Source organism: Homo sapiens, chromosome 5, assembly GCF_000001405.40.
Source record: "Homo sapiens chromosome 5, GRCh38.p14 Primary Assembly".
NCBI classification, from domain to species: domain Eukaryota; kingdom Metazoa; phylum Chordata; class Mammalia; order Primates; family Hominidae; genus Homo; species Homo sapiens.
In genome coordinates this window covers 133,020,848-133,040,308 of record NC_000005.10, presented here as the reverse complement: position 1 = coordinate 133,040,308, position 19,461 = coordinate 133,020,848, and the positions used below count along the sequence as shown (strand labels likewise).

Here is a 19,461-nt window from a genome sequence, read left to right as displayed (position 1 = left end):
TCTCAAAGAAAATGTAACTGTTTGACTTGCTGTTTTCTACTGATTAAGGCTCGGACTATAAAATTAGATGTTAACTTATAGAAGACTGATAAATTGAAAATAATTTTTTTCTTTTTTTTTTTTTTTTTGAGATGGAGTCTCGCTCTGTCACCCAGGCTGGATGGAGTGCAGTGGCGCGATCTTGGCTCACTGCAAGCTCCGTGTCCCGGGTTCATACCATTCTCCTGCCTCAGCCTCCCAAGTAGCTGGGACTACAGGCGCCCGCCACCACACCCAGCTAATTTTTGTATTTTTAGTAGAGACGGGGTTTCACTGTGTTAGCCAGGATGGTCTCGATCTCCTGACCTTGTGATCCACCCGCCTCGGCCTCCCAAAGTGTTGGGATTACAGGCGTAAGCCACCGCACCTGGCAGCAAATAATTTTTGTATGGTAGAGATATTAATTATTTCTTTTTTTTTTCTTTTCTTTTTTGCCTCCACCTCTCAGGCTCAAGCAATCCTCCTGCTTCATCTTCCCGAGTAACTGGGACTACAGGCTCATGCCACTATGCTCGGTTAATTAATTTATTTATTTTTTTGCAGAGACAGGATTTCTTCATCTTGCCCATGCTGGTCTCAAACTCCTGGGCTCAAGGAATCCGCCTGCCGCATCCTCCCAAAGTACTAATATTATAAGCATAACTCACCCACCATGTCCAGCTGAGATGTAAATTATTTGTGTCTGGTAGAAAAAAATATTCCCCGCCAGGAGTGGTGGCTTGCGCCTGTAATCCCATCATTTTGGGAGGCCAAGGCAGGGGGATCACTTGAGGTCAGGAGTTCGAGACCAGCCTGGCCAACATGGTGAAACCCCATCTCTACTAAAAAAAAATATATAAAAATTAGCTGGGCATGGTGGCAAGCACCTGTTATCCCAGCTACTCAGAAGGCTGAGGCAGGAGAATCGCTTAAACCCGGGAGGTGGAGGTTGCAATGAGCCAAGATAGTGCCACTCCACTCCAGCCTGGGCGACAGAGCAAGACTCTGTCTCAAAAAAAAAAAGGCTGGGCACAGTGGCTCATGCCTGTTAACCCATAACTTTGGGAGGCCGAGATAGGTGGATAGCCTGAGCTCAGGAGCTTGAGACCATCCTGGGCAACATGGTGACACCCCGTCTCTACTAAAATACAAAAAATTAGCCAGGCATGGTGGTGCGTGCCTATAGTCCCAGCTAGTTGGGAGGCTGAGACACAAGAATCACTTGAGCCTGGGAGATGGAGGCTGCAGTGAGCTGAGATGATGCCACTGCACTCCAGCTTGGACTACAGAGTGAGACTCCGTCTCAAAAAAAAAGAAAGAAAAAGATAAAATATTCTCCAAAAGTATGTTTTTATGCTCTGTAGAATAACAAGTTTTATATCTAATTTTGAAATCTAACTTCAGCATTCTTTCTTTCACGAGTCTCTTGAATTCTCTATTGAATCAGCTTTGTTCTCCTGCTGGCTGTCTCATGAGTCAGTTAAATAAATCACTGACATACCCTCACTATATATTTGCATGTTCATAACTTTTTAAAACTTATACTTTTATGATTCAGACATTTCCTTAATAAAATACAAACAAAAAAATAAAAATTATACTTTGTCCTCAAAGAGCCAAGCATAGTATTACCTATGAGCCAGCAGTTCCACTCACAAGTGCCTGTATACCCAAAGGAATTGAAAGCAAAGACTCAAACAGATACTTGCGCACCAATGTTTATAGCAGCATTATTCACAATAGCCAAAAGATGGAAGCAACCCATGTCCCTCAACAGATGAGTAAACAAAATGTGCTATATACATAGACTCTTTTTTTTTTTTTTTTTTTTTTGAGACAGAGTCTCGCTCTTATTGCCCAGGCTGGAGTGCAATGGCACGATCTCTGCTCACTACAACCTCTGCCTCTGCCTCCTGGGTTCAAGCAATTCTCCTACCTCAGCCTCCCAAATAGCTGGAATTACAGGCACCCACCACCACGCCCGGCTAATTTTGTATTTTTAATAGAGACGGGGTTTCACCATGTTGGTTGGCCAGGCTGGTCTCGAACTCCTGACCTCAGGTGATCCACTCACCTCGGCCTCCCAAAGTGCTGAGATTACAGGTGGGAGCCACCATGCCCAGCCATACATGGAACATTATTGAGCTATAAAAAGGAATGAAATCCAGATAAATGCTAGAACATGAATAAACCTTGAAAACATTATTTTGTTTTTTTGTTTGTTTGTTTTTTTGAGATAGGGTCTCACTGTGTCACCCAGGCTGGAGTGCAGTGGCACAATCTCAGCTTGCTGAGACCTCCACCTCCCAGGCTCAAGTGATCCTCCCATCTCAGCCTCCTGAGTAGCTGGGACTACAGGCTTATGCCACCACACTTCGCTAATTTTTATATTTTTTGTAGAGACAGGGTTTTGCCATGTTGCCTAGGCTGGTCTCAAACTCCTGGGCTCAAGCAGTCCACCTGCCTTGGCCTGCCAAAGTGCTGGGATTACGGGTGTGAACCACCACCTGGCTGAACTTTGAAATTATTATGCTAAGTGAAATAAGCCAGACCCAAAAGGACAAATAGGATATGATTACACTTATATAAGGTACCTAGAATAAGCAAACTCACAGAGACAGAATGTAAAATAGAGGTTACCAGGGGCTAAGCAGAATGGATGGGGTTTTTGTTTGTTTTGAGACAGAGTCTTGCTCTGTCACCCAGGCTGGAGTGCAGTGGCACCATCTTGGCTCACTGCAACCTCCGCCTCCCAGGTTCAAGCAATTATCCTGCCTCAGCCTCCTGAGTAGCTGGGATTACAGGCGCCCACTACCATGCCCAGCTAATTTTTGTATTTTAAGTAGAGATGGGGTTTCACTATGTTGGTCAGGCTGGTCTCCAACTCCTGACCTTGTGATCTGCCAGCCTCGGCCTCCCAAAGTGCTAGGATTACAGGCATGAGCCACTGTGCCCAGCCAGATTGGGGAATCATTTTTAAGTGAATACAGAGTTTCTATTTGGGATAATGAAAAAGTTCTGGAAACAGGTAGTAGTGATGGTTGCCGGACACGGTGGCTCACACCTGTAATCCCAGCACTTTGGAAGGTCTGGGTGGGCAGATCACTTGAGCCCCGGAGTTTGAGACCAGCCTGGGCAATATAGTGAGACCCTGTCTCTACAAAAAACATTTATTTTTATTTATTTATTATTATTATTTTTGGAGACAGAGTCTCGCTCTGTCACCCAGGCTGGAGTGCAGTGGTGCCATTTCAGCTCACTGCAATCTCCACCTCCTGGGTTCAAGAGATCCTCCCACCTCAGGCTCCTAAGTAGCTGGGACTACAGGCATGTGCAAACATGCTCGGCTAATTTTTTTTTTTTTTTTTTTTTTTTTTTTGAGGTGGAGTCTCACTCTGTTGCCCAGACTGGAGTGCAGTGGCGCAATCTCAGCTTACTGCAACCTCCGCCTGCTGGGTTCAGGCAATTCTCCTGACTCAGCCTCCCAAGTAGCTGAGACTACAAGCATGTGCCATGATGCCTGGCTAATTTTTTGTATTTTTAGTAGAAACAGGGTTTCACCATGCTGGCCAGGCTGATCTCGAACTTCTGACCTCATGATCTGCCCGCCTTGGCCTCCCGAAGTGCTGGGATTACAGGTATGAGCTACCACGCCTGGCCCTGTATTTTTAATAGAGACAGGGTTTTACCATTTTAACCAGGCTGGTCTTGAACTCCGGACTTCAAGTGATCCACCTGCCTCAGCCTTCTTTCTCTGTAGACCAGATTTCTCTCTCTCCAGACACTGGCTGCCCCTCAGCTCTGAATATACATGCTTCAGGACCAGCCCTACACAGGGATGAAAAGTAAAGACCGTTAGTTCTAACATAAAATTCTCAGGTAAGAGGACTTGATTGACCCAGCTCAGATCAGTCAAACTAGTTCAGTCAAGTGTGGCTAGGGGTACAGGGTCACCAACATCCAGTTTTTAGAGAACTATCATCAGGAACTAGAAAGATACACTAAAATGGCCAGGCGTGGTGGCTCATGCCTGTAATCCCAGCACTTTGGGAGGCTGAGGCGGGTGGATCACTTGAGGTCAGGAGTTCAAGACCAGCCTGGCAACATGGTGAAACCCCATCTCTATTAATAATACAAAAATTAGCCAGGCATGGTGACACGTGCCTGTAATCCTAGCTACTTGGGAGGCTAAGGCAGAAGAATTTCTTGAACCTGGGAGGTGGAGGTTGCGGTGAGAGGAGATCGCACCACTGCACTCCAGCCTGGGCAACAGAGCAAGACTCCATCTAAAAAAAAGAAAATACCCTGGCTGGGTGCCATGGCTCACGCCTGCAATCCCAGCACTTTGGGAGGCCGAGGCAGGCAGGTCACAAGGTCAGGAGATCGAGACCATCCTGGCTAACATGGTAAAACCCCATCTCTACTAAAAATAGAAAAATTAGCCAGGCGTGGTGGTGGTCGCCTGTAGTCCCAGCTACTTGGGAGGCTGAGGCAGGAGAATGGCATGAACCTGGGAGGTGGAGCTTGCAGTGAGCTGAGATCACGCCACTGCATTCCAGCCTGGTCGACAGAGCCAGACTCCATCTCAAAAAAAAAAAAAAAAAAAAAATACCCTAAAAGATATCTCACAGTGTTGATGTAATTAGAGGAAAAGTTGGTACCAGAGTACCAGTGAGCAGAGGAATCCAAATAGGCCTGGGTGGGCTTTGAGTTAAATTATATAGGGGAGGGGACACTTATTTACATAACTTTCCAGGGAGTTTCACAAGGCAATATGTAGGGACTGTGGGATTTTGGAAGGGGTCCTGATCAGAGAGGAAGTGAGGAAAGTCATTGAGAGCCAGAGAGACAGTGGTCACATCATCTGGCATGTGACAACCCTTTACTGCAGCCCACAAGCCTTCAATAAAATCATGAGATGCTTGGTGCAGTGGGATTTCTAGTGAGCACCCACAAATGAGATGCAGCCTCTTATTCAGATGTGACCTGGAGCAGGAACAGAGACAGTGAAGCCTACGTGAAATTAAACCACTAAAAGTATAGAGTCGTCTTTCAACTACCTTAGACCCTAGATGTTGTAGCCAAGATTACCTAGTTCTCCAAGTTCAACAAAGCCCCTAGGTAACACCTGGGTTACAATTTTAAGGGTCAAAAAAAGAAAACCACGTAGATTTCACCAATAGCAGCCTGATTGAATAACCTGTGATTACATTAAGCCCAATTAACTACTGGTTGGAAATCCAATTATTCACAAGAAGAGATTTCTGAGCTCTTTTTCCCTGTTTGCATTTTCGCTGGTTGGAATGGAAAGGTGAGGATTTAAAAACTCTTCTGTGTTTCTTAAGCTCTAAGACTTCCTGTCTATATTTGCTTATTTTGGCCCAAGGAATCCAATTTCCCTGGAGCATTATTGCAATAGGCTGTTTTCCCACCTTACTGATTCAGATATCTTGAGGCTTTAAAGCTCTTAGGTGTTGGGAACAGGGATCTCTGGAACAGGGATTTCTGTGACCTCTAGCTCACATTAAGCCAAATTACACCTTGAGGTAGGATGGGAAATTAGGAAGTACCGCCAAAAGAATTGTCAAAAACAGAGTAACTTGAAATATTACCAACGCTTCTTAACATTTGCCGTCTCATTTTTTTTTTTTTTTTTTGAGACGGAGTTTTGCTGTTGTTACCCAGGCTGGATTGCAATGGCATGATCTCGGCTCACCACAACCTCCGCCTCCCAGGTTCAAGCGATTCTCCTGCCTCAGCCTCCTGGATATCTGGGATTACAGGCATGTGCCACCACCCCCGGCTAATTTTGTATTTTTAGTGGAGACAGGATTTCTCCGTGTTGGTCAGGCTGGTCTCTAACTCCCGACCTCAGGTGATCCGCCCGCCTCCTCAGGTAATCTGCCTGCCTCGGCCTCCCAAAGTGCTGGGATTACAAGCGTGAACCACCACGCCTGGCCTTGCCATCTCAATTTTATAGAATTGAGATTTGAAAGAGGGAGGGGCGATTTGAATGAGGAAGGAAACGTGGGATGTCACGTGAGACTTCTTGGACTGTCTAAAGGTCAAGAAAAAGATTCATGGTAACTTAGGAGCATCATTACAGTGCCACTATCTAATTTTATCTATTTTTGTATCTAATTTTGAACAAAGGTTTGTGTCTTTTTCTGCTATAAGAAAAAGTTTTCGGCCAGGCATGGTGGCTCACACCTGTAATCTCAGAACTTTGGGAGGCCAAGGCAGGCGGATCACCTGAGGTCAGGAGTTCGAGACCAGCCTGACCAACATGGAGAAACCCCGTCTCTACTAAAAATACAAAAAATTAGCCGGGCGTGGTGATGCATGCCTGTAATCCCAGCTACTTGGGAGGCTGAGGCAGGAGAATCACTTGAACCCGGGAGGTGGAGGTTGCGGTGAGCTGAGATCATGCCATTGCACTCCAGCCTGGGCAACAGGAGCAAAACTCTGTCTCAAAAAAAAAAAAAAAAAGAAAGAAAAAGAAAAAGTTTTCAAATTAAGTTCCACTGGAATTAAATTCTGACAGTTTGCCCACTGTGGTGGTGATTTTTCTTGATCTTCCCGGGCCCCCTTCTCTCTACTATGCTAACAATAGGAGTGGGCATAACACAAGCTGAATTATTCACAGCACCTCCTCTCACTGGACCACAATGATTTGAAGGAGAGATAAGCAGATAAACATGTGACCAAGCACATGGCGCTCTCTTCAGAGTGTCTCAGCTGGTGGAATAGTCTTTCTCCTGTTTTCATAACATTGAACTCTGTGTAAGTCCTACACTTCTGGAAAACTGAGATGGTTAAGAACCACCTGCCCCCCCAACCCCCCTCACCCCCACGCTGACACACACACTCTTTGTCCCAGCTTACTACAAAGAATCACTCTTCTGGATAGGACTTAGATAAGACCACTGATGATACCACTGTTTACTTATGGCAAGACCAGACACAGACTCTCCAAATTTGCATTATTTGTCTCATAAGGGGAACTGTTTGTCCCTCTGAGACTAGCTAGCCATAGAGATATTTCCTGTTCAGCTGATTGAGATTCAGCTTGATCACAAAAACAATTCCAACTATAAAACACCCCACCTGTGAATTACCGACTCCTCCCTATAAGTGTCGGACAAACATACCCTGTCAAGAGTCTGACCTTCAGATCTAAGGTGCTTGCCCTATCACAACAGCCTGAATAAAATCAATTTCCTTATTTGCTTGGGTTTTGTCTTTGACAGGCTGTGGAATCATAAGAATGTGTTCCCAAGGTTTCAGTGGCCATACTTTCAGCCAGAGAGGCCTGAAGGAAATAGATCACTACTTGGAGGAAAGCAGAGGCTAGTTTGTCTTGACAAAAGGCATCACATCCTTGGTTCTGGGCTGAGGTGCTTAGTTTCCCTGCTCTGGCGTCTTGCAGTATCTTCCCATCCTTTAAATACACTTTTTTTTCATGGATTTTGGTTCACCTGCAATTTGAGGAGCCCTAACGAATCAGTCTACCACATATAAAATTCATGATGCAGTGCAGTAGGTATGTTCACATAAAAATGCCAGGGATTAAAATATACTTTGAGGGTTTATCAATGATGAAAAGCCCTTTAGCTGGATCTGGTGGTGAGCACCTGTAGTCCTAGCTACTCGGGAGGCTGAGGCAGGACGATCACTTGAGTCCAGGAGTTCAAGACCAGCCTATGTGGTCGTGAACCTGCAAGACCCTGTCTCTATCCCCCTCCCTAAAAAATTTTTAATTAGCCAAGCATGGTGGCACATGCCTGTAATCCCAGCTATTCAGGAGGCTGAGGCTGGAGGATGGCTTGAGCCCAGGAGGTCGAGGCTACAGTGAGCTATGAATGCACCACTGCTCTTTAGTATTCCCAGCTACTCAGGAGGCTGAGGTAGGAGAATTGCTTGATCGCTTGAACCCGGGAGGCTGAGGTTGCAGTGAGCCAAGATCGCGCCACTGCTCTCCAGCCTAGGCGACCGAGCAAGACTCCATCTCAAAAAAAATTAAATTAAATTAAAATTTAAAAAAATAGCCCTTCAGAACATCGATTTTTTTTTTTTTTTTTTTTTTTTTTTTTGAGACAGAGTCTTGCTCTGTCTCCCAGGCTGGAGTGCAGTGGCACCATCTCGGCTCACTGCAAGCTCCGTCTCCCAGGTTAAAGCCATTCTCCTGCCTCAGCCTCCCGAGTAGCTGGGATTACAGGCAGCTGCCAACACGCCCGGCTAATTGTTTGTGTTTTTAGTAGAGATGGGGTTTCACTGTGTTAGCCAGGATGGTCTTGATCTCCTGACCTCAAGTGATCCGCCCACCTCGGCCTCCCAAAGTGCTGAGATTACAGGCGTGAGCCACCGCGCCCAGCCAGAACATCGATTTTTAAGTGACTGCTAATAAAATTTCATTGGAGAAAATGGAAAAGAAACTGTTTGTTTGTTTGTTTGTTTGTTTGTTTGAGATGGAGTTTTGCTCTTGTTGCCCAGGCTGGAGTGCAGTGGCACAATCTCTGCTCACCGCAACCTCTGCCTCCTGAGTTCAAGCGATTCTCCTGCCTCAGCCTCCCAAGTAGCTGGGAATACAGGCATGTGCCACCATGCCCAGCTAATTTTGTATTTTTAGTAGAGATGGGGTTTCTCCATATTGGTCAGGCTGGTCTCAAACTCCCGACCTCAGGTGATCCGCTCGCCTCGTCTCCCAAAGTGCTGGGATTACAGGCATGAGCCACTGCGCCTGGCCAGAAACAGTAGTTTTTAAATGCAGAGACAGAACATGAATATTTTGTCACAGAAATAATCCTGGTCCAACATATAATAAATGGACAAGTGTACTGTATTACCTAAAGTGGACACATTTACAAATGCTGGCAATACTTGGAAATTTGCAGCAAGCTTTAATATGCATGTGATCCCAGCACTTTGGGAGGCTGAGACTGGTGGGTTACTTGAGCCCAAGAGTTCAAGAGCAGCCTGGGCGTGCACACACACACACATGCACACACAGATTTGCCAGGTATGGTGGCACATGCCTACAGTTCCAGCTACTTGGGAGGCTGAGGTGGGAGGATTGCTTGAACCTGGGAAGCAGAGGTTGCGGTAAGCTGTGATCGCACCACTGCATTCTAGCCTGGGTGACAGAGTGAGACTGTCTCAAAAATAAAATTAAATAAATAAAAACAAATTAAAAATTATATATATGTAATATAGCTCTATCATATATATATATATATATATATATATATATATATATATATATATATATATATATATATGATAGAGACAGAGTTTTGCCATTTTGCCCAGGCTGGTCTCAAATTCCTGGGCTCAAGCAATCCACTCACCTCAGCCTCCCAAAGTGCTGGGATTACCGGGATGAACCACCATGCCTGGCCCTAAAGTGTTCTTAAGCTATATTTGCTTTTTGTGGAGACAGGCTATCTTGCCATTCTTATTCATAAAACAAATTATAATTACTGTTTTATTTTGCATTACACACCATGTAAACTTAATCTTGATTTAGTATTTTTCTTTTTGAGATAGAGTCTTACTCTGTCTACCAGGCTGGAGTGCAGTGGTGTGACCTCAGCTCAAGCCGAGGCAATATTAGGTACACAGATACTGCAGGGGGTTGAACCTGATGATCTGCTGGCAATTGTTTAAAGAGGAAGCACACAAGTTCCCAGTCCTGAGATCTGAACTTTTCTGATTCAAGATCTTTGCAAGGCCTGGGTGTTCAATTACTTCTATACTATGAGCTAGCCAATAAACTTCCAATAAATTCATTGTTTATGTGGCCAGAGTTTTGTTTTGTTTTTCTTGCAATTGAATCTGAATTGACATAAGGAAATTGGTTCTGTGTTATCTCAAACAAAACTGGCTGGAAGGGAGAAATAGATGTGTAATGGAAAAAGCTCAAGGCTGTGGGCCTTGGACAAATCTCTTAACATGCCTGAGTCTCAGTCCCTTTATTTGTAAAATGAGGATAAACCCTACCTGTGGTGATAAAGTCAAGGATCCTTTGGGGTCAAGAAAGAGAAACCTAACTTGAACTATCTTAATAAAAAAAGAAATGCAGGCTGGGTGCAGTGGCTCACGCCTGTAAACCCAACACTTTGGGAGGCCAAGACGGGCAGATCATTTCAGGCCAGGAGTTTGAGACCAGCCTGACCATCATGGTGAAATACTATCTCTACTAAAAATACAAAAAATTTAGCCAGGCATGGTGATGCATGCCTGTAATCCCAGCTACTTGGGAGGCTGGGGCATGAAAATTGTTTGAACCCGGGAGGCAGAGGTTGCAGTGAGCCAAGATCATGCTGGGGCACTCCAGCCTGGGTGACAGAGTGAGACTTCGTAGGAAAAAAAAAAAAAGGAATATACTGAGGAAGCTGAGATAACCCCAAATAATCGAAGGAAAAGCGAATCAAGTCTAGGTAGGTCTTTTTCTGTCTCTCATCTCTGTTTCTCTTGGCATGTCAATTTCCTTCTCTTCTACTGCAGACTAGTTTAAATCACCAGAGGAGCCAGCAAATCCTGGACTCACAATCACACAGCCTTATGATCTATGTCACAGCAAAGTGTTGCATCAAAGCCTGAGGACTTTAAGGAACCCAAGCAGCTTCATCTGAAGATAAGGAAACATGACACAACTATTGAGCATTTTGTTTTTAGGTCTTCTTGGAAAGTGGAAATAAATTAAGGAAAGCAGCTCTCACCTCATTCTGGGGAGTTTCGGGCACTACTCATGCCCTCATGCCCAGAGGTGGATGAAAGAGCCAATCCTGTTTTCATTTGGAGAATCAGAGCTTCTTACTCACAGAGGCCCAGAATGGCCACTCTCAAATCCCCTTGCATAGCCACTCTTCTTTACAAAATGAATGGTCACCCTGCTCTGAACCACTCCCTTATTTAGCCAAGTTAGTTAAATTCTTTTTCTTTTTCTTTCTTTTTTTTTTGAGATGGAATCTTGCTCCGTCGCCCAGGCTAGAGTGTGGAATGCAGTGACACAATCTTGGCTCACTGCACCCTCTGCCTCCTGGGTTCAAGCGATTCTCCTGCCTCAGCCTCCTGAGTAGCAGAGATTACAGGCATGTGCCACCATGCCTGGGTAATTCTTTTTTTTTTGAGACAAGTCTCGCTATGTCACCCAGGCTAGAGTGCAGCGGTGCAATCTCGGCTCACTGCAACTTCTGCCTCCTGGGTTCAAGCAATTCTCCTGCCTCAGCCTCCCCAGTATCTGGGATTACAGGCACGCACCACCACTCACGGCTAATTTTTGTATTTTTAGTAGAGACGGGGTTTCACCATATTGGCCAGGCTGGTCTTGAACTCCTGACATCAAGTGATCCACAAGCCAAGATCATGTCACTGCATTCCACAGGTGTGAGACACCATGCCCAGCCAAGTTAGTTAAATTCTTTTATGCTACTGGAAGAAGAGTTCTTGTTGTTCTATGCCAAGGCATATGAAGGGTAAACCTACACTTGATTTTTGTACCAGATTCCAATTTTACCATTTACAGCACCGAGGTTTCCTGAATAGTTACAATAACCAATGGTAAAACATAAAGGGTAAAAACATTTTTTAAAAAAACAATAGCGCCATCCCGGTGCGTTGGCTCATGCCTGTAATCCCAGCACTTTGGGAGGCCAAGGCAGGCGGATCACCTGAGGTCAGGAGTTTGAGACCAGCTTGGCCGACATGGTGAAACCCTGTCTCTACTAAAAATACCAAAATTAGCCAGGCACGGGGGCAGGCGCCTGTAGTCCCAGCTATTCGGGAGGCTGAGGCAGGGGAATCACTTGAACCCGGGAGGCGGAGGGTGCAGTGAGCCAAGATAGTGTCACTGCACTCCAGCCTGGGCAATAGAGGTAGACTCCGTCTCAAAAAAAAGAAAAACAGGGTGCATGTCCTTTGACCCAGCAATCCTACTAGGATGTCATCTTATAGCAACACGGGGGATTTACTCTTTCTGTTGTTGTGGTAAATGATCTAATTGTTCAGCAATAGGGTACTGGCTGGATACTTGGGGAATATCCATGTAATCCATAACATAATGTATAAAAAGAATGAATTAGATCTGTATGTGCAGACATGGGAAAATATTTTCTTTTCTTTTTTTGTTTTTGAGATGGAGTTTCACTCTTGTTGCCCAGGCTGGAGTGCAATGGCGCGATCTCGGCTCACTGCAACCTCTGCTTCCCAAGTTCAAGCGAATCTCTTGCCTCAGCCTCCCGAGTAGCTGGGATTACATGAATGCACCACCACGCCCGGCTAATTTTTTTTGTATTTTTAGTAGAGATGGGGTTTCTCCATGTTGGTCAAGCTGGCCTTGAACTCCCAACCTCAGGTGATCCGCCCTTCTCGGCCTCCGAAAGTGCTGGGATTACAGGCGTGAGCCACTGCGCCTGGCCGGGAAAACATTTTCATAAGTACACTGAGGAATGAAAAAATCAAGCTGGAGAACACAACATGTAAGAGCCTATTTTTTTGAAGAACAAGTTGTGCTCAAAGGTCACATCATCACCTTCCCTAACTCCTAATCACTCTTTAATCCCTTACTCTGAAATATTTTTCGTTAGAGTACTTATGCCCATGAGAATAGTCTTCATTCATTGTCTGTAGAAAGTTCCATGTGTACACGGATTTTATTTGTTCAAATGCTCTGTCCTCAGCTCCTAAAACATTTTAAGTGTTAATTATTAATTGAAAAAATATGGCTGGGCGCGGTGGCTCACGCCTGTAATCCCAGCACTTTAGGAGGCCGAGGCGGGCGGATTATGAGGTCAGGAGATCGAGACCATCCTGGCCAACATGGTGAAACCCTGTCTCTAGTAAAAATACAAAAATTAGCTGGGCATGGTGGCGCGTGCTTGTCATCCCAGCTATTCGGGAGTGTGAGACAAGAGAATCTCTTGAACCAGGGACCCAGAGGTTGCACTGAGCCGAGATCGCGCCACTGCACTCCAGCCTGGCGACACAGCGAGACTCTGTCTCAAATTAAAAAAAAAAGGAAAAAATATGGATGACCCAGAAACACACACACACTTCAGAAAATTATATATATTTCAGAGAACGTGGGTTTTAAGAGAATAATAGCTCCGTGAGCTGACATTAGATGTAGGTGCAGCTAAAATATTCTAAAATATTTGTATAGTCCTTTTCTGCTTGATAAAGCAGCTTTAGTTATACAGTCCCATTTAGTACTCGTAACAACGCTGTGAAATACATAAAAAACAGAAATAACGTATATGTTTGCACTCCATGGCTTGCTAAAGTCATTCTTTCAATTGATGGTCTCAATCCTGGTCAACTAATTCCTTTCTATTCTCCAGACTACTTCTAGTTTTCTGAACACCAAAGTTTCATTCTTTGTCTTTGTATGTGTATCCCTCGTTCGAGAATGTTGTCCTCATTTTCCACAGATAATGTTCTTGCCTGTAATCATCCTTTGAAACCCTGTTCGGCCCGAGAACCCGAGACCCATACTGGAGACACCGGCCCCTCCCGACCCACCAGTCCCTCCCGTCCCGACCCTCCAGCCCCTCCAGCCCCTCCCCTCCCGACCCTCCAGCCCCTCCCCTCCCGACCCTCCAGCCCCTCCCCTCCCGACCCACCAGCCGGCACTAAGATACCTCCCCTTAGAAGCCTGTCTGGCCCCGCCTACGTCTACGGCCTCCCGGTTGGAAGCCCCGCCCTTCCGAGGAGTTTCCCAAAACCCTGCGCGGCCGGCTTTGACCGCGCTAAGATGGCGACTCCCATGCATCGGCTAATAGCCCGGAGACAAGCGTAAGTAAGGATCCGGTTCGGGTCCACTGGAGGGCTGGGAGCGGGGAAACGCGCGTCAACGGGCTGGTGTCGGACCCCTATTGGGACCGGCGGAGAATGTCCGTTTCTCAAACACTCTTCTGGCTCCCGGGGGGCTCGGGCCCGGGCGATAAGTCTGGTGACCGGGGGTTAGCGATTTCGCGGAAGACAGCCGCGTAAAGTCTGCGGCACGGGACAGAGCGGGGTTTGAAGACAACTGTCGCGTTTGGTTTCTCTGAAAGGAACGCCCACAGTTGGTCACTCAGTGATTTATGCCCCTCCGCCAACCCCACGCGTGGACAGGGGAGCCCTGAAGCCCCGGTCCGACACCTTTATTCCAGCCGACGTAAACCTTCAGTTTCCTATTCAGTGTCCAGCCCAGCTGCCTTTTCCTACTTCCTTATTCTAGCGCCTTCCTTAGGAACACCCTGCCTTCAATGCCGATTGCTTTCCCAGGCTATCTTACCACCTTTTGCTACTCATTCTCTCTTTCAATAAATATTAATTTATTTAGTTCCTACCGTTCTGTGCCAGACATTGGGTATAAATAGAGGTGTTCAAGACAAAATCCTTGCTTTCAGAGAGCTTACATTCTAGTGATGGAAACAGTCGATAAACCACAAATTGTAAATACAGCTGGTGATAACAGCTTTGAAGGAAGTAAGCTGTTGTGATGGAAAGAGGGAAAGGCCCACTTTAGGTTGGTTGGACTGGAAAGGCATCTCTGAAGAGGTGGAATTTGAACAGAGATTTAAAGGATGAAAAAGGAACAGTCATACGAGGATTTTGAGAAAGAGCATCCGGATAGTGGCATAATTGCTTTGAGCCTGAAACTTACTTTTTACAGAACTGAAAGATAGCCATTACGCCTAATGAACAAGAGAGAGTGGCAGAAGAGATTCATAGCTGACAAATAATGCAAGGGTCACCCCAGATGCCCCTTTCTTTTTTTTTTTTTTTTTTTTTTTTTTTTTTGAGGCGGAGTCTTGCTCTGTCTCCCAGGCTGGAGTGCAGAGGTGCAATCTTGGCTCACTGCAAGCTCCGCCCCCCGGGTTCACGCCGTTCCCCTGCCTCAGCCTCCCGAGTAGCTGGGACTACAGGCGCCCGCCACCATGCCCGGCTGGTTTTTTGTATTTTTAGTAGAGATGGGGTTTCACCGTGTTAGCCAGGATGGTCTCGATCCCCTGACCTCGAGATCCGCCCGCCTTGGCCTCCCAAAGTGCTGGGATTACAGGCGTGAGCTACCGCGCGCGGCAACCCCTTTCTTATAAAGCTTTTTTTTCCAACAGCCTTTGCACATCCAGACATCTGCCTCTTTTTCATAAATATTTCATGCCATCTCCATTTTCATGTCTATATGTAGCTCAGAGTCTGCTAGTATATGTATGTGTGTTTATCTGTATATCTTTTTATATTTTTTAATTCAAATAATCCCTTTTTCTTCTCCTTTCCATCTACCCTTTCAGGCCTGATAAGAAGAGTTCCTCAAATGTACAGACAGACTTAGGGAGTTAGAGTAGTAAGCTTGGTGAAGGAAGAAGGCTCGAAGTCAGACAGGTTTTTTTTGTTTTTTTTTTAGACGGAGTCTCACTCTGTTGCCCAGGCTGGAATGCAGTGGTGCGATCTTGGCTCACTGCAACCTCTGCCTCCCTGGTTCAAATGATTCTCCTGCCTCAGCCTCCCGACTAGCTGGGACTACAGGCGTCCGCCACCATGCCCTGCTAATTTTTGTATTTTTTAGTAGAGACGGGGTTTCACCATGTTGGTCAGGCTGGTCTCGAACTCCTGATGTCAAGTGATCTGCCCACCTTAGCTTCCCAAAGTACTGGGATTACAGGCATGAGCCACTGCGCCCACCATTAAGTCAGACAATTCTGAGATCAAAAATGGGATGGTGATACTTAAAGGGAGTGCTAAATGATGTCACCAGGATCCCATTTCTCCCTGTCTGTCTCTCATGCTTGCTCTTTCGTTGTTGGCTCCATATTTGGATAGGCTCTATTCTTTGCTCCCAAGATGGCTGCAGTATCCAGGGTCCTATCTATTCTCTCAGCTTCAAGTTGATTGCAGTTCTTTGGTCTAGATTGGATTACATGCCCAGTGCTAAACCATGCCTGTGGGATTGTGAAGCTCTGATTGATTTAGAGATCTTATTCTCCTTTCAGTACAATTGAATGGATGACCATAAGCCAATGATAACCAGGGTGGATAGGTCAGAGGAGTTAAATGAATGCAGGATTGGCAAAACCAATGTCCACTTTAAATATGAAGTGAAAATAAGACTTAGCATCTGAATAATACTGCTATTTCTTGTTTCAGAAGTATCAAAAGTTAAACAAATTTTTATATCTACAATATGTCTGTATTTGGTACATGAGTTACATGATTTGTAAAAGACAAATCTTACCTTTAAGGAGCTTCTGGTCTTGTTGGGAAGCAAACATGTGGCATATTATAAAAAGTGTTGTGGTATACAGAGTGTAAGTCTCCAAGGGATTCAGCAAAGGAGGGCCTTTAGAGGCTTGCGAAGTCCAAGAGAATTTGGGGGGAAAGCAGGAGAGGAGCCTTTACTTTTCATTTTATATTCATCAAAAAGGTTTAATTTTATTTACAAGGAGCATATATTACTTACATAACAACAAATTTAAAATAGTTTTTAAGTTAGTAATGAGAAATGAGAAAGCACTATCATCAATTTTTTTTTTTTGAGATGGAGTTTTGCTCTTGTTGCCCAGGCTGGAGTGCAGTGGCATGATCTTGGCTCACCGCAACCTCCACCTCCCAGGTTCAAGTGATTCTCCTGCCTCAGCCTCCTTTAGCTGGGATTACAGGCATGTGCTACCCGCCTGGCTAATTTTGTATTTTTAGTAGAGACGGGGTTTCTCCATGTTGGTCAGGCTGGTCTCGAACTTCTGACCTCAGGTAATCTGCCCACTTCAGCCTCCCAAAGTGCTGGGATTACAGGTGTGAGCCACCGCACCTGGCTTTATCGTTCTTTAAAAAAAAAAAAAAAAAAAGGTCTTTGGACTAATAGAAGAAGACGGGGAAAAAAGTCTAAATACGAACTCCTCATTCAGTAGATCTTTCGGAGACTTAACTAGTCAGTCTACTAAATCAATTGGAATGAAATAATTGATTTAATTATTTTTACCTTGTAAACTGTACTTACATCTACCTATATTAAGTAAATTATGGAGTCTAGGCATTATTTGGGGTCATTTCTTCTATTAAACCTTATATGAGATTCCACTACTCCTTCTTCAACATCCAGAGTCGTCATCAAACTTGGCTTGAAGACTTCCAGTAATGTGTACTTACCTCCTGAAGTGGCCTGTTGTGTTTTCAAATCTATCTAAAAGTTTATGTTGAGCTGAAAAACAATAATATTTATAAAGTTAAACCCCATTTCTTTCTTACTCCCTTGTTTTTGAACCTTGCTATGATTTCAGTCAGTTAAAAAACCTTGTTTTCTACCTGAATTGTCATCAAGTCAGACCTCCCCTGCCTTGTATTGATTTTCTGGACTTAAGTGTCAGACTTACCTTTGTCCTTGTTAAATTTCATCTTGTTAGATTCGACACAGAGTTGCAGCCTGTCAAGACCTTTTGGATCCTGATTCAGCCATCCATCGTTATTAGGTATCCCTCTCAGCTTTGTGTCAACTGCAGGTTTGATAAATATGTACATTTGTGTCCTCATACAAGGCATTTATAAAAATGTTGAACAAGGCCGGGGCGTGGTGGCTCATGCCTGTAATCCCAGCACTTTGGGAGGCTGAGGCAGGTGGATCACAAGGTCAAGAGATCGAGACCATCCTGGCCAACATGTTGAAACCCCATCTCTACAAAAATTACAAAAATTAGCTGGATGTGGTGGCATGCGCCTGTAGTCCCAACTACTCGGGAGGCTAGGCAGGAGAATTGCTTGAACCCGGGAGACGGAGGTTGCAGTGAGCCGAGATCTCGCCACTGCAGTCCAGCCTGGCGACAGACCGAGAGTCTGTCTCAAAAAAAAAAAAAAAGTTGAACAATACCAAACCATGCAGGCCATAACTGGATCTCTCTCTATATTGTCATGCACCACATAACAGATCCCATATATTAATTCTATGGTTGTCCCATAAGATTATAATGGAGCTAAAAAAATTTCTGTTGCCTAGTGACATCTTGATGATCCTGACCCTGTGTAGACCTAGGCTAATGTGTGTGTGTCTTAGTTTTTTACAAAAAAGTTTAAAAAGAAAAATAAATTTTAATAGAAAACAGCTTATAGAATGAAGATATAAAGAAAGAAAAAATTTTTGTACAGCTATAAATGTGTTTGTGTGTTAATGGTTATTACAAAAGAGTCAAAAAGTTTTAAACATTTATAAGTTATAAAGTAGGCCGGGTGCGGTGGCTCATGCCTGTAATCCCAGCACTTTGGGTGGCCCATGGTGGGTGGATGACCTGAGGTCCAGAGTTCAAGACCAGCTTGATCAACATGGTGAAACCCCATATCTACTAAAAATACAAAAAATTAGCCAGGTGTCGTGGCGGGCACCTGTAATTCCAGCTACTTGGGAGGCTGAGGCAGGAGAATCACTATAACCTGGGAGGCGGAGGTTGCAGTGAGCCGAGATCACACCATTGCACTCCAGCCTGGGTGACAGAGCAAGACTCTGTTTCAAAAAAAAAAAAGTTATAAAGTAAAATTGTAGTAAGCTAAGATTAATTTATTATTGAAATTTAAAAAAATTATAAATTTAGGGCAGCCTAATGTACAGTATTTATAAAGTCTATGGTAGTGTCATGATTACTGTAGCTTCATAATAAGTCTTGAATCCACGTGTTAGTCCTCTGATTTTGCTCTTTTTCAGAGTTATTTTGACTATTTTAGATTGTATTTCCAGATAAATTTTAAATTAGCTTACCAAAAGCTGCTGCGATTTCAGCTGGGATTGCATTGAGTGTACAGATCAACCTATGGAGAATTGACATCCTAACAGTATTGAGTTTTCTGATCCGTGCTTATGTATATCTCGCCATTTATTTAGGTCATCTTTAATTTCTCTTAGCAGTGTTTTGTAGTTTTCAGAGGTCTTGCACATCTTTTGTCAGATTTGTCCCTAAGTATTGTAATAGTGTTTTTTAAAAATTTTAGTTTCAAAAGGCTGGGCGCAGTAGCTCACGCCTGTAATCCCAGCACTTTGGGAGGCTGAGGTGGGCGGATCACAAGGTCAGGAGATCGAGACCATCCTGGCTAACACGGTGAAACCCTGTCTCTACTAAAAATACAAAAATTAGGCCGTGCGCGGTGGCTCACGCCTGTAATCCAGCACTTTGGGAGGCCGAGGCGGGCGGATCACGAGGTCAAAAGATCAAGACTATCCTGGCTAACACAGTGAAACCCCATCTCTACTAAAAATACAAAAAATTAGCCGGGCATGGTGGCGGGTGCCTGTAGTCCCAGCTACTCAGTAGGCTGAGGCAGGAGAATAGCGTGAAGCCGAGAGGCAGAGCTTGCAGTAAGCCGAGATTGCACCACTGCACTCCAGCCTGGGCGACAGAGCGAGACTTGTCTCAGAAAAAAAAAATAATAAATACAAAAAATTAGCCGGGCATGGTGGCGGGCGCTTGTAGTCCCAGCTAC

At 44.8% G+C, this 19,461-nt stretch overlaps 1 protein-coding gene across 15 annotated transcripts in view, besides 2 other annotated features; it reads left to right on the top strand.

Annotated features, from left to right (window-relative positions):
• Window positions 13,481-13,610: a silencer, noted in NCBI's record as "silent region_16345". NCBI's record gives its function as "represses an Ori minimal core promoter by ATAC-STARR-seq in GM12878 lymphoblastoid cells {active_cell/tissue: GM12878}" and the evidence as "EXISTENCE:reporter gene assay evidence [ECO:0000049][PMID:35858748]".
• Window positions 13,691-14,000: an enhancer, noted in NCBI's record as "active region_23097". NCBI's record gives its function as "activates an Ori minimal core promoter by ATAC-STARR-seq in GM12878 lymphoblastoid cells {active_cell/tissue: GM12878}" and the evidence as "EXISTENCE:reporter gene assay evidence [ECO:0000049][PMID:35858748]".
• Window positions 13,760-19,461, top strand: part of ZCCHC10 (zinc finger CCHC-type containing 10) — a 29,565-nt gene continuing 23,863 nt past the window's right edge. For 5 of the 15 annotated variants that reach the window (NM_001308129.2, NM_001308128.2, NM_001300819.3 and 2 more), the window contains exon 1: window positions 13,760-13,812. In NM_001308129.2, the coding sequence (NP_001295058.1) occupies window positions 13,772-13,812 (41 nt within the window). In that variant the 5' untranslated portion in view covers window positions 13,760-13,771. Of the gene's footprint in view, window positions 13,817-17,402; window positions 17,499-19,461 lie in introns of all 15 variants that reach the window. The other 10 variants (NM_001300818.3, NM_001300817.3, NM_001300816.3 and 7 more) reach the window with 3 other exon arrangements.